The sequence below is a fragment of the Homo sapiens genome, chromosome 2, assembly GCF_000001405.40.
Source record: "Homo sapiens chromosome 2, GRCh38.p14 Primary Assembly".
Classification (NCBI taxonomy): domain Eukaryota; kingdom Metazoa; phylum Chordata; class Mammalia; order Primates; family Hominidae; genus Homo; species Homo sapiens.
The window spans coordinates 201,314,684-201,328,967 of NC_000002.12; the positions used below are offsets into that span (position 1 = coordinate 201,314,684).

Below are 14,284 nucleotides of genomic sequence, written 5' to 3' on the forward strand. Positions count from 1 at the left end.
AACACTTGAGAAATTTATCACAAAAAGATCATAGCCTAGGCACATTGTCATCAGGTTATCTAAAGTTAAGATGAAGGAAAGAATCTTAAGAGCTGTGAGGCAAAAGCACCAGGTAACCTGTAAAGGAAAACCTATCAGACTAACAGCAGATTTCTCAGCAGAAACCTTACAAGCAAGAAAGGATTAGGGCCCTATCTTCAGCCTCCTTAAACAAAACAATTATCAGCCAAGAATTTTGTACCAAGCAAAACCAAGCTTCATAAATGAAGGAAAGATACAGTCTTTTTCAGGCAAACAAATGCTAAAAGAACTTGCCACTACCAAGGCAGCACTACAAAAACTGCTAAAAGGAGCTCTAAATCTTGAAACAAATCCTGGAAACACATCAAAACAGAACCTCTTTAAAGCATAAATCTCACAGGACCTATAATACAAAAAAAAGCAAAAACAAAAACAAAAACAAAAAAACCCAAGGCATACAGGAAACAAATAGCACAATGAATGGAATGGTACCTCACATCTCAATACTAACATTGAATATAAATGGCCTAAATGCTCTACTTAAAAGATACAGAATTGCTGAATGGGTAAGAATTCACCAATCAACTATCTGCTGCCTTCAGTTGACTCACCTAACACATAAGAACTCATAAACTTAAGGAAAGGGGTGGAAAAAGACATTCCATGCAAATGGACACCAAAAGCTAGCAGGAGTAGCTATTCTTACATCAGACAAGACAAACTTTAAAGCAACAGCAGTTAAAAAAGACAAAGAGGGACATTATATAATGGTAAAAGGCCTTCTCCAACAGGAAAATATCACAATCCTAAATATATATGCACCTAACACTGGAGCTCCCAAATTTATAAAACAATTACTCCTAGACCTAAAAAATGAGATAGACAGCAACACAATGATAGTGGCGGACTTCATTACTCCACTGACAGCACTAGACAGGTCAAGAAGACAGAAAGTTAACAAAGAAACAATAGATTTAAAATATACCCTGGAACAAATGGACTTAAGAGATATTTACAGAACATTCTATCCAACAACCCCAGAATATACATTTATTCAACAGCATATGGAACTTTCTCCCAGATAGACCATATGATAGGCCACAAAACAAGCCTCAATAAATTTAAAATTGAAATTATATCAAGCATTCTCTCAGACCACAGTGGAATAAAACTGGAAATCAACTCCAAAAGGAATGTTCAAAACCATGCAAATACATGGAAATTAAATAACCTGTTCCTGAATGATTATTGAGTCAACAATGAAATCAAGATGGAAATTTAAAAAAATTCTTCAAACTGAATGACAACAGTGACATAAAACCTATCAAAACCTCTGGGATACAGCAAAGGCAGTGCAAAGAGGAAAGCTAAAAGCCCTAAACACTTATATAAAAAAGTCTGAAAGAGCAAAAACAGACAATATAAGGTCACACCTCAAGGAACTAGAGAAACAAGAACAAACCAAACACAAACCCAGCAGAAGAAAGGAAATAACCAAGATCAGAGCAGAACTGAATGAAATCAAACAAACAAACAAACAAAAAATACAAAAGATAAATGAAACAAAAAGCTGGTTCTTTGAAAAGATAAATAAAATTGATAGATCATTAGCAAGATTAACCAAGAAGAGAGAAAATCCAAATAAGCTTAATTAGAAATGAAAAGGGAGATATTACAACTGACACCACAGAAATACAAGAGATCATTCAAGGCTACTGTGAACACCTTTACGTGCATAAACTAGAAAACCTAGAGGAGACAGATAAATTCCTGGAAAGATACAACCCTCCTAGCTTAAATCAGGAAGAATTAGATACCCCGAACAGACCAATAACAAGCAGTGAGATTGGAATGATAATTAAAAAATTACCTACACAAAAAAGTCCAGGACTAGATGGATTCACAGCAGAACTCTACCAGACATTCAAAGAAGGATTGGTACCAATCCTATTAACACTATTCCACAAGATAAAGAGGGAATCCTCCCTAAATCATTGTATGAAGCCAGTATCACCCTAATACTAAAAACAGGAAAAGACATAACCAAAAAAGAAAACTACAGACCAATATCCTTGATGAACATAGATGCAAAAATCCTTAACAAAATACTGGCTAACTGAATCCAACAACATATCAAAAAGATAATCCACCATAATCAAGTGGGTTTCATACCAGGGATATAGGCTTAACATACTCAAGTCAATAAATGTGATACACAACATAAAAAGAATTAAAAATAAAAATCACATGATCATTTCAATAGATGCGGAAAAAGCATTTGACAAAATCCAGCATGCTTTATGATTAAAACTCTCAGCAAAACTAGCATACAAGGGCCATACCTCAATGTAATAAAAGCCATCTATGACAAACCCACAGCCAAAATCATACTGAATGGGGAAAAGTTGGAAGCATTCCCACTGAGGACTGGAACATGACAAGGATGCCCACTCTCACCACTCCTCTTCAACATAGTACTGGAAGTCCTAGCCAGAGCAATCAGACAAGAGAGAGAAATAAAGGGCACCCAAATCAGTAAAGAGGAAGTCAAACTATTGCTGTTTGCTGATGATATAATTGTATACCTACAAAACCCTAAAGATTCCTCCAAAAAGCTCCTAGAACTGATAAAAGAATTCAGTAAAGTTTCCAGATACAAAATTAATGTGCACAAATCAGTAGCTCTGCTATACACTGACAGCGACTAAGGTGAAAATCAAATCAAGAACTCAACCCCTTTTACAATAGCTGCAAAAGAAAAATAAAATGTTTGGACTATACCTAACCAAGGAGTTGTAAGACCTGTACAAGGAAAACTATAAAACACTGCTAAAGAAATCATAGATGACACAAACAAATGGAAACACATCCCATGCTCACTGATGGGTAGAATCAATATTGTGAAAAAGATCATACTGCCAAAAGCAATCTACAAATTTAATGCAATTCCCATCAAAATACCACCATCGTTTTTCACAGAACTAGAAAAAAAACTCCTTAAATCCATATGGAACCAAAAAAGAACCCACATAGCCAAAGCAAGACTAAGCAAAACAAAACAAAGCAAAACAAGCAAACAAAAAATCAAAAAGCAAAAAACCTAACAAATCTGGAGGCATCACATTACCTGATTTCAAACTATATTATATGGCCATAGTCACCAAAACACCATGGTACTGGTATAAATATAGGCACATAGACCAATGGAACAGAACAGTGAACTCAGAAATAAACCCAAATACTTACAGCCAACTGATCTTTGACTAAGCAAACACAAATATAAAGTGGGGAAAGCACATCTTATTCAACAAATGGTGCTGGGATAATTGGCTAGCCACATGTAGGAGAATGAAACTGGATCCTCATCTCTCATCTTACACAAAAATAAACTCAAGATGGATCAAGGACTTAAATCTAAGACCTGAAAATATAAAAATTCTAGAAGATAACATCAGAAAAACCCTTCTAGACATTGGCTTAGGCAAGGATTTCATTACCAAGAACACAAAAGCAAATGTAATAAAAACAAAGATAAATGGCTGGGACTTAATTAAACTAAAGAGCTTTTGCATGGCAAAAAGAACAGTCATCAGAGCAAACAGACAACCCACAGAGTGGGAGAAAATCTTCACAATCTATACATCTGACAAAGGACTAATATCCAGAATCTACAACAAACTAAAACAAATTAGCAAGAAAAAACAAATAACCCATCAAAAAGTGGGCTAAGGACATGAATAGACAATTCTCAAAAGAAGATATACAAATGGCCAACAAACATATGAAAAAGTGCTCAACATCACTAATGATCAGGGAAATGCAAATCAAAACCACAATGAGATACCACCTTACTCCTACAAGAATGGCCATAATCAAAAAATAAAAAAAAAATACATGTTGGCATGGATGTGGTGAACAGAGAACACTTCTACACTGCTGGTGGGAATGTAAACTAGTACAACTGCTATGGAAAACAGCATAGAGATTCTTTAAAGAACTAAAAGTAGAACTACCATTTGATTCAGAAATTCCATATATATATGATAGAATACTACTCAGTCATAAAAAGTAATGAATTAATGGCATCAACACAACTTGGATGAGATTGGAGACTTATTCTAAGTGAAGTAACTCAGGAATGGAAAACCAAACATCGTATGTTCTCACTCATAAGTGGAAGCTAAGCTATGAGGATGCAAAGGCATAAGAATAACACAATGGATTTTGGGGACTCAGGGGGAAAGAGTGGGAAGGGGGTGAGGGATAAAAGACTACAAATTGAGTGCAGTGTATACTGCTCGGGTGATGGGCACACCAAAATCTCACAAATCACCACTAAAGTACTTACTCATGTAACCAAACACCTCCTGTTTCCTAATAACCCATAGAAATAAAAAAATTTAAAAAAATATAAGGCTACAGTAACCAAAACAGCTTGGTACTGATACAAAAACAGACACATAGATCAATGGAACAGAATAGCAAACTCAGAAATAAAGCTGCACACCTACATCCATCTGATCTTCAACAAAGTAGACAAAAACAAGTGGTGGGGAAGGAGTTCCCTATTCAATAAATGATGCTGGGATAGCTGGCTAGCCATATGCAGAAAAATAAAACTGGGCCCCTACCTTTCACCATATACAAAAATCAACCCAAGATGCCTTAAAGATTTAAACATAAGAACTCAAACTCTAAGAATCCTAGAAGAAAACCTAGGAAACACCATTCTGAACACTGGCCTTGGGAAAGAATTTATGACTAAGTCCTCAAAAGCAACTGCAACAAAAACAAAAATTGACAAGTGGGACCTAATTAAACTAAAGAGCTTCTGCACAGCAAAAAAACCCGTCAACAAAGTAAACAGGCAACCTACAAAAAAAGAGAAAATATTCACAAACTACGCATCTGACAAATATCTAATATCCAGAATCTATAAGTAACTTAAACAATTGAACAAGCAAAAAACAACCCCATTAAAAAGTGGGCAAAAGACATGAACAGACACTTCTCAAAAGAAGACAGAAGTTTGTTTGTGTTTTTCCAAAATGGCAGATTAGAGGCATTGCTAGCATACTTCTCCCACTTGGAAAAACAAAATAGTTGTAGAGATTCACACTGAACTTTTTTCAAGGAGCAATGCAGAAACTGAACAGGAAAACCAAAGGAATCTACAGACCCTTTGAAGGAAGCAGGAGGCTGCAGGTTACACTGTGAATCAGGCAAAGGGCTGTGAGTTCCCAGAGTGTGAGAAGGGGGACTCACCCTACATTACTCCTGGAATACACACCCCCACTGTGGACCCTGAAAGTCCAGACCATGGGAGAAAGCCCTAACCCTATGCAGCACAGGAACTGACTTGGGGAGGGATGTGGAATATAAAAGTGGGAGCAGTGGCAGGAAGATTCTTGCACACACTCCCAGATTTCAGCATGGAGAGAGGGAAGCCATTTCTTACTGTTCCTCACGGGGAACCCTGTGGAGGACAGCCAAAAAGTTCAGGCAGTGGTCGCAGGTTGAAAGAAGCCTCCAACTGGGTTTCATGATATAACCTTAGGTGCGGATGAACTCCCTTGGCCAGGGCCAGGGTGGAGGAGAGTGAAAAGTGGGCTGCAGCCATGAGTGCAGGAGCTGCCAGTGCAGGAACTGGGTGCCTGGCTTTGCAGTGGACAGGGAGGGGCTTGGCCTGAAAGCCGTGATTGCTATCTCTGCAGGGAACGTATATGACTCGGGACAGTTGCAAGTTCTGAGTGCAGGCTAACTGGAACTTAGCTTGCTGCTGCCAGTGGAACACTGTGGGAGTGCATCTGTCTTGCCAAGTGCATGGGATCTGTGTGGGGCTCACAGCCACCTGCTTCTCCTCACTCTGCACAAACCCTTCTGTGTGGCAAAGCCAGCAACACTGCCTTTTGGAACATCAACCCAGTGGCCTGAGAACCACTCCCATCCCCTGGCTTCCACAGGGGCTGCTGCTTGCCCTGCACAGGGAGACTCAGAGCGCAAGCCCACCTGAACCAACCCTCACCCTGCTTTGCCCCGTCACCTGCCCTGGTAGTTTAACACAAAGGACAGAAACTCTTGGGGGCTATATAGCCCCACTCATTGCCTGAGAAACCAGAGTAACCCCTCTGGACAACATAAAGCAAGCAAAAGTCCTATTGCTACTATTGCAGCTGGTTCCCTTTTGTAAGCATCACCTCTTGGCTGGAGGCCAACCAACACAGTCCATTACAGCATCTCCTGGTAGAATAACAACGCACCTAGGAAGAAGATGGCTGTGTAATCTCAGCTATCACCACTGCCTGCACCATTCTGGCTAACCAGGAGGTCCTGAGTTTGTCCACATGACCAGTTCATTACTACTAAAACCAGTGTTCGAGAAAGCCAACACACTAAGGCTATCAATAACCAAGGACTCTCACAGAGTCTATTACCCTGCCACGCCCATTAGAACTGGTGCTGCTACCCACTGTTGGGAGACTTGAAGAGAGGTCACATCACTGGATCCCTTGCAGATATTCCCTAGCACCAGCCTGGGGTGTGGTACCTTCACTGGACAGCTAGACCCAGAGACCCTGTTCCCTTAGGAGTGGGATCCCCCTGATCCTAGGGGAACAGGGAGTGCACCACATCAAGAGAACACCCTGTGGGAGAAAATAATCCAGACAGCAGGACTTAAGAACCAGATCTTTCTGCTAGTGGGAAGTTTCTTTCAGCAGAGGCACAGTTGCAGTGCTGGGCTCAGCAGGAAAAGTCTTCAGCTCTAACCCAACAGACAGACAACCCCCCCACCCATTGTCTACCACTGCAGGCACAGTTGGAGCTTCTCCCATTGGAGCTTGGTGTGAGTGCAACTATAGACAGTCTTTCTGGAAGACATCAGGGTGACTGCATCCCCATAGGAGGGGCACCCTCTAGGTTCAAGCTTGTATGAGAGACGTTCACAATTTTTCTCTATTTGGAACATCAAAATTCCTGCAGATGAAAAGAGGTGGCTGTCTGGAGATGAAAAGCTGGAGCACTGAAACAGGAGTGTGTTTGAGAGGGATAACTTTCCTGCTAACCTGGCAGGGGAGCTGAGGTGGCTCCAACCCTTACCCCAGGTAAGACCTCATTGCAACTCACTCCTCCAGCCACCTCTGTCAAGGCTGAGACCTCTGCCCATCACTGGGTATTGCATTTACCCACCTGCTTTAGCCACAGCTGATTCCTACCCAGGGACACCTCCCCTACTGGCCTGAAGCTGGAACCATCAAACTAGTAAATAAAACACTGGAGAAAAGGCCGGGTGCAGTGGCTCATGCCTGTAATCCCAAAACTTTGGGAGGCTGAGGCGGGTGGATCACTTGAGGTCAGGGGTTCGAGACCAGCCCGGCCAATATGGTGAAACCCTGTCTCTACTAAAAATACAAAAATTAGTTGGGTGTGGTGGCAGGCACCTGTAATCCCAGCTACTTGGGAGGCTGAGGCACAAGAATCACTTGAACCCAGGAGGCGGAGATTGCAGTGAGATCATGACACTGCACTCCAGCCTGGGCAACAGAGTGAGATTCAGCCTCAAAAAAAAAAAAGAAAAAAAAAACTGGACGAAAATGCGTAAATAAAAAAGGGCATGCCACAGGGGAATGAGATAAGCTTTAAGAGACCTCTTATCATTACAGCCCCATAGGAGACAGTGATCTTGCTAATATACCAAGCACATTGCTACTACAACCAGCATCTAAGAAAGCCACATAAAAAAACTCTCTATAACCAAGGAACTATTACAGAGTCTTCACCCCTGAAAGCACCAAAAACCAAATTAGGCCATAATATGATAAGCATTAAAGTCACATCCTTAAGTGGAAAAAAGAAATTAAAAAACAAACACAAAAAGAAACACAGTCAAATCAAACATCAATTCAAGGATAATTAGAAGAAATAATCTACCCAAATGAGGAGGAACCAGAAAAGGAACTCTGGTAATATGAAAAAACAGGGTTCTATAACACCCTCAAAAGATAACACTAGCTCTCCAGCAATGGATCCAAAGTAGGACGAACTCTTTAAAATACCAGATAAGGAATTCAGAAGGTCAATTATTAAGCTACTCAAGGAGATTTCAGAGAAAGATGAAAACTATTATAAATTTAAAAAGCATTTCAGGATATGAATGAAAAATTTTCTAGAGATATAGATATTATCAAGAAAAAACAATAAGAATTTCTAGAAATGAAAGACACACTTAGGGAATACAAAATGCAGCAGAAAGCTTTAACAATAGACTAGAACAAGTAGAAGAAAGAATTTCAGAGCTTGAAGACAAGGTTTTTAAACTAACCCAATCAGACAAAAATAAAGAAAAAAGAATAAAAAGAAATGAACAAAGTCTTCAAGAAATATGGGATTATGTTAAACAGCCAAACCTAAGAATAACTGGTGTTCCAGAGGAAGAAGAGAAAATAACAAGTCTGGAAAACTTATTTCAGGGAATAATTGAGGAAAACCTTTCTGGCGTGGCTAGAGATCTAGATATCCAAATCCAAGAAGCTCAAAGAACTCCTGGGAAATTAATTGCAAAAAGATCTTCACCAAGGCATATAGTCATCAGGCTATCTAAACTCAACATGAAGGAAATAATTCTAAGAGCAGTAAGACAAAAGCATCAGGTAAGCTATAAAGGAAAACCTATCTGAATAACAGCAGACTTCTCAGCAGAAACCTTACAAGCCAGAAGGTATTGGGGTCTTATCTTCAATCTCCTTAAACAGAAAAAAACTGTCAGCCAAGAATTCTGTATCCTGTAAAGCTAGGTTTTGTAATTGAAGGAGAAATAAAAGTCATTTTCAGATAAACAAATGCTGAGGGAATTTGTCACTAGCAAACCAAACTACAAGAAATGCTACCAGCCTGGCCACATGGCAAAACCCTGTCTTTACTAAAAAATACAAAAATTAGCCAGGTGTGATTGTGCATGCTTGTAATCTCAGCTACTTGGGAGGCTGAGGCATGAGAATCTCTTGAACCCAGGAGACAGAGTTTGCAGTGAGCCAAGATTGCAACATTGCACTCCAGCCTGGGCAACAGAGCCAGACTCTATCAAAAAAAAAAAAAAAAAAAGTAAGGAAGGAAGGAAGGAAAGAAAAGAAAGAAAGGTGGGCTAAAAGGAGTTTTAAACATTGAAACAAAAGCCAAATACGCACCAAAATAGAATCTCTTGAAAGCTTAAAACTCATGAAGTCTATAAAGCAATAACAGAATGAAAAAAGAAAAGCTATATACATAACAATTAACATGATGAAGAGAAGAGTACTTCACATCTCAATATTAATGTTGAATGTAAATGGCCTAAACGCTCCACTTAAAAAATACAGAATGACAGAATGGATAACAAAAATCACAATCCAAATATCTGCTGTCTTCAAGAGACTCACCTAACATGAAAGGATTCAAATAAACTCAAGGGAAAAGGGTGGAAAAAGATATTCCATGCAAATGGACACCAAAAGCAAGCAGGAGTAGCTATTCTTATATCAGACGAAACAAACTTCAAAGCAACAACAGTAAGACAAGACAAAGATGGTCAATATAATGATAAAAGGATCAATCCAACAAGAAGATATTACAATCCTAAATTTACATGCATCTAACACTGGAGCTTGCAGATTCATAAAACAATTACTACTAGACCTAAGAAATGAGATAGACAGCAACACAGTAATGGTGGGATACTTTAATATACCACTGACAGCACTAGACAAGTCTTTGAGACAGAAGGCCAACAGAGAAAAAATGGACTTAAATGACATGCTAAAACAAATGAACATAACAGCTATTTACAGAACATTCTACCCAAGAACTGTAGAATGTATGTTCTTCTCATTGGTACATAGAACAGTCTCTAAGATAGGCCATATGATAGGTCACAAAACAAGTCTCAATTAATTTTTAAAAATTGAAATCCTATGAAGTATCTTCTCAGGCCATAGCAGAATAAAACTAAAAATCAATTTCAAAGGGAATCCTCAAAACTATACAGATACATGGAAATAAAATAATCCATTCCTGAATGATATCTGGGGTAAACAGTGAAATCAAGATGGAAATTTAAAAAATTTTTGAATTGAATCATAATGACACAAGTTATCAAAACCTCTGGGATAGGTGGGGTTCGGTGGCTCATGCCTGTAATTCTAGCACTTTGGGAGGCCAAACAGGTGGATCACTTGAGGCCAGGAGTTTGAGACCAGGCTGGCCAACATGGTGAAACCCCATCTTTACTAAAAATACAAAAATTAGCTGGGTGTGGTAACAGGCGCCTGTAGTCTCAGTCTCAGCTACTTGGGAGGCTGAGGTGCGAGAATTGCTTGAACTTGGGAGGCAGAGCTTGCAGTGAGCCAAGATAGTGCCACCGCACTCCAGCCTGGTTGACAGAGTGAGACTGTCTCAAAAAACTAAAAACTAAAAAAACCTCTGGGATACAGCAAAAGCAGTGCTAGGAAAGTTTATAGTGCTAAACGCCTGCATCAAAAAGTCTGAAAGAGCACAAATTGACAATGTCACACTGCAAGGAACTGGAGAAACAAAAAAAACGAAGTCCAAAGATAGAAGAAAAGAAATAATGAACATCAGAGCAGAACTAACTGAAATTCAAACAAAAAATATAAAAAGATCAATGAAACAAAAAGCTGGTTCTTTGAAAAAATAAAATAGACTAGATTAGCCAAGAAAAGAAGAAAAGATTAAACAAGTAAAGAAGAGAAGATCTAAATAAGCTCAATTAGAAATGAAATTGGAGACATTACAACCCACAGAACCACAGAGATACAAAAGATCACTTGAGGCTACTATGAACGCCTTTTTGCATACAAACTGGAAAACCTAGAGGAAATAGACAAATTCCTGGAAACGTACAACTCTCCTGTATTAAATCAGGAAGAAACAGAAACCCTGAACAGGTGAATAACAAGCAGCAAGATTGAATCAGTAATTTCAAAATTGCCAAGAACAACAAAAAAAGCCCAGGACTAGATGGATTCACAGCTGAATTCCACCAGATGTTCAATGAAGAATTGGTACAATCCTACTGAAACAATTCCGAAAGATTGAGAAAGAGGGAATCCTCTCTAAATCATTCTATGCAGCCAGTATCGCCCTGATATCCAAATCAGGAAAGAACACAACAAATAAAAAAAACTACAGACCAATTTCACTGATGTTGAACATAGATGCAAAAATCCTCAACAAAATACTAGCTAACCGACCCCAATAGCACATCAAAAAGATAATTCAAGTGGATTTTGTCCCAGGGAGGCAGGGATGGTTTAACACACACAAGTCAATAAATGTGATACATCACATAAACAGAATTGAAAACAAAAAACACATGATCATCTCAATAGATTCAGAAAAAGCATTTAATAAAATCCAGCATCCTTCATAATTAAAACTCCTAACAAACTAGGCATAGAAGGGACCTACCTCAATAATAAAAGCCATATGTGACAAACCCACAGCCAACATCATACTGAATGGAAAAAAGTTGAAAGCATTCCCCTTGAGAACCGGAACAAGACAAGATGGCCACCTTCACTTTCACCACTCTCATTCAACATAGTTCTGGAAGTCCTAGCTAGAGCAATTAGACAGGAGAAAGAAATAAAGGGCGTCCAAATTGGAAAAGAAGAAGTCAAACTATTGCTGTTTGAAGATTATATAATTGTATACCTAGAAAATCCTAAAGACTCCTCCAAAGACTCTAAGATTTGATAAACGAATTCAGTGAAGTCTCAGTTTACAAAATCAGTGTACACATATCAGTAGCACTGCTATACGCTAACAACGACCAAGCTGAGAATCAAAAAAAGAACTGATACCCTTTTACAACAGCTACAAAAAAATAAAATACTTAGGAATGTACTTAACCAAGGAGGTGAAAGATCTCTACAAGGAGAACTATAAAACACAGCTGAAAGAAGTAATAGGTTATACAAACAAATGGAAATGCATTCTATGCTCATGGATTGGAAGAATCAACGTTGTGAAAATGACCATACTGCCCAAAGTAATCTTGCATTACAGATCCAGTGCAATTCCCATCAAAATATCAACATTATTTTTCACAGAATTAGAAAAAAAGTTCTAAAATTCATATGGAACCAAAAAAGAGCCAGAATAGCCAAAGCAATACTAAGCAAAAAGAACAAATCTGGAGGTATCACATTACTAGACTTCAGATTATACTACAAGGCTATAGTTACCAAAACAGCATGGTACTGGTATAAAAGTAGGCACATAGGCCAAGGAAACAGAACAGAAAACCCAGAAATGAAGCCAAATATGTATAGCCAACTTATCTTTGACAAAGCAAACAAAAACATAAATTGGGGAATGATACTTTATTTAATAAGTGGTGCTGGGAGAATGGGCAAGCCACATGTAGAAAAATGAAACTGGATCCATATTTCTCACCTTATACAAAAATCAACTCAAGATGGATCAAAGACTTAAATATGAGACCCGAAACTATAAAAATTCTAGAAGACATTAGAAAAACTCTTCCAGTCATTGGCTTAGGCAAATAATTCATGACTAAGACCCCAAAAGCAAATGCAACAAAACCAAAAATAAATAAATAGAACCTAATTAAACTAAAAAGCTTCTGTACAGCAAAAGAAATAATAAACAGACAACCCACAGAATGGGAGAAAATATTTGCAAACTATGCATCTGACAAAGGACTAGTAATCAAAATCTACAAGGAATTCAAACAAATCAGCAAGAAAAAAACAAATAATCCCATTAAAAAGTGGGCAAATGACATGAATAGATATTTCTCAAAAGAAGATATACAAATGGCCAACAAACATGAAAAAGTGCTCAATATCACTAATCATCAGGGAAATGCAAATTAAAACCACAATGAGATACCACCTTACTCCTGCAAGAATGGTCATTATTAAAAAGTAAAAAAACAATATATTTTGGTGTGGATGTGGGGAAAAGGGAGTGCTTATATACTGCTGGTGGGAATGTAAATTAGTACAACCTTTTGGAAAAGAGTATGGAGATTTCTTAAAGAGCTAAAAGTAGATTTACCATTCAATCTAGCAATCCCACTACTTGATCTCTACCGAAAGGAAAATGAGTCATTACAGAAAAAGACACTTGTACACGTATGTTTATAGCAGCACAATTCACAGTTGCAAAGATGTGGAACCAACCTAAGTGCCCGTTGACTAATGAGTGGATAAATAAAATGTGGCATATATACACCATAGACTGCTACTCAGTCATTAAAAGGAATGAAATGTCTTTTGCAGCAACTTGGATGGAGCTGGAGGCCATTATTCTAAACAAAGTAACACAGGAGTGGAAAACCAAAAACTGTATGATGTCACTTAAAAGTGGGAGCTAAGTCATGAATATGCAAAGGCATATTCATTAATGAACTTTAGAGACTCAGAAGGGGGAGGTGGGAGAGTGGCTTGTGATAAAAAAAAAACAAAACTACACATTAGGTACAATATACACTACTTAGATGATGGGTGCACTAAAGTCTCAGAATTCACCACTATATAATTCATCCAGGTAACAAAAAAACCATTTGTATCCCCAAAGCTATTGAAATAAAACTTTTTTAAAAACCCCAAAGTAAAAAAGTTGGAACAATTTTCTTTTCTTTTATATAATTTTTACATGTGTTAGCTTTAGGGTCAAATTTATTTCTTTTTTATTTTATTTATTTATATATATTTTTTGAGACAGAGTCTTGCTCTGTTGCCCAGGCTAGAGTGCAGTGGCACGATCTCGGCTCACTGCAACCTCTGCCTCCCAGGTTCAAGCGATTCTCCCGCCTCAGTTTCCTGAGTAGCTGGGATTACAGGTGTGTGCCACCATGTCCGACTAATTTTCGTATTTTCAGTAGAGACAGGGTTTTGCCATGTTGGCCAGGCTGGTCTCAAAATCCTGACCTCAGGTGATCTGCCTGCCTCGGCCTCCCAAAGTGCTGGGATTACAGGCATCAGCCACAGCACCGGCCTATGGTCAAATTTAAATGAGCTATTTTTAAATATAAACTTTGGATTTCTGAATAAAGATTTGATAAGTTAAAAATGGGCTGAAAACCTATATTTTGAAATAAGTTATAGAGCCCCAGAATTCTAGAACTAAATCTACAGTTTTTCAACATTCTAAATGGAATTTCTTCTTTTTCACTTCTTTTTTTAATGTCAGTTTAATTGAGTAAAATGTGCCCTTGTTCAGTATACTTTTAATGTGTTTG

The 14,284-nt window shown here is 38.2% G+C and overlaps 1 protein-coding gene across 12 annotated transcripts in view, besides 2 other annotated features; it reads right to left on the bottom strand.

The window, feature by feature from the left end:
• The window catches only part of FLACC1 (flagellum associated containing coiled-coil domains 1), a 76,019-nt gene that overhangs the window by 26,413 nt on the left and 35,322 nt on the right, over nt 1-14,284 (bottom strand). The gene's annotated exons all lie outside the window — the stretch shown is intronic.
• Nucleotides 5,277-5,778: an enhancer, noted in NCBI's record as "H3K4me1 hESC enhancer chr2:202184683-202185184 (GRCh37/hg19 assembly coordinates)". NCBI's record gives its function as "activates a minimal SCP1, AML or CMV promoter by ChIP-STARR-seq in naive H9 embryonic stem cells {active_cell/tissue: H9 hESC(naive)}" and the evidence as "EXISTENCE:reporter gene assay evidence [ECO:0000049][PMID:30033119]".
• Nucleotides 5,779-6,278: an enhancer, noted in NCBI's record as "H3K4me1 hESC enhancer chr2:202185185-202185684 (GRCh37/hg19 assembly coordinates)". NCBI's record gives its function as "activates a minimal SCP1, AML or CMV promoter by ChIP-STARR-seq in naive H9 embryonic stem cells {active_cell/tissue: H9 hESC(naive)}" and the evidence as "EXISTENCE:reporter gene assay evidence [ECO:0000049][PMID:30033119]".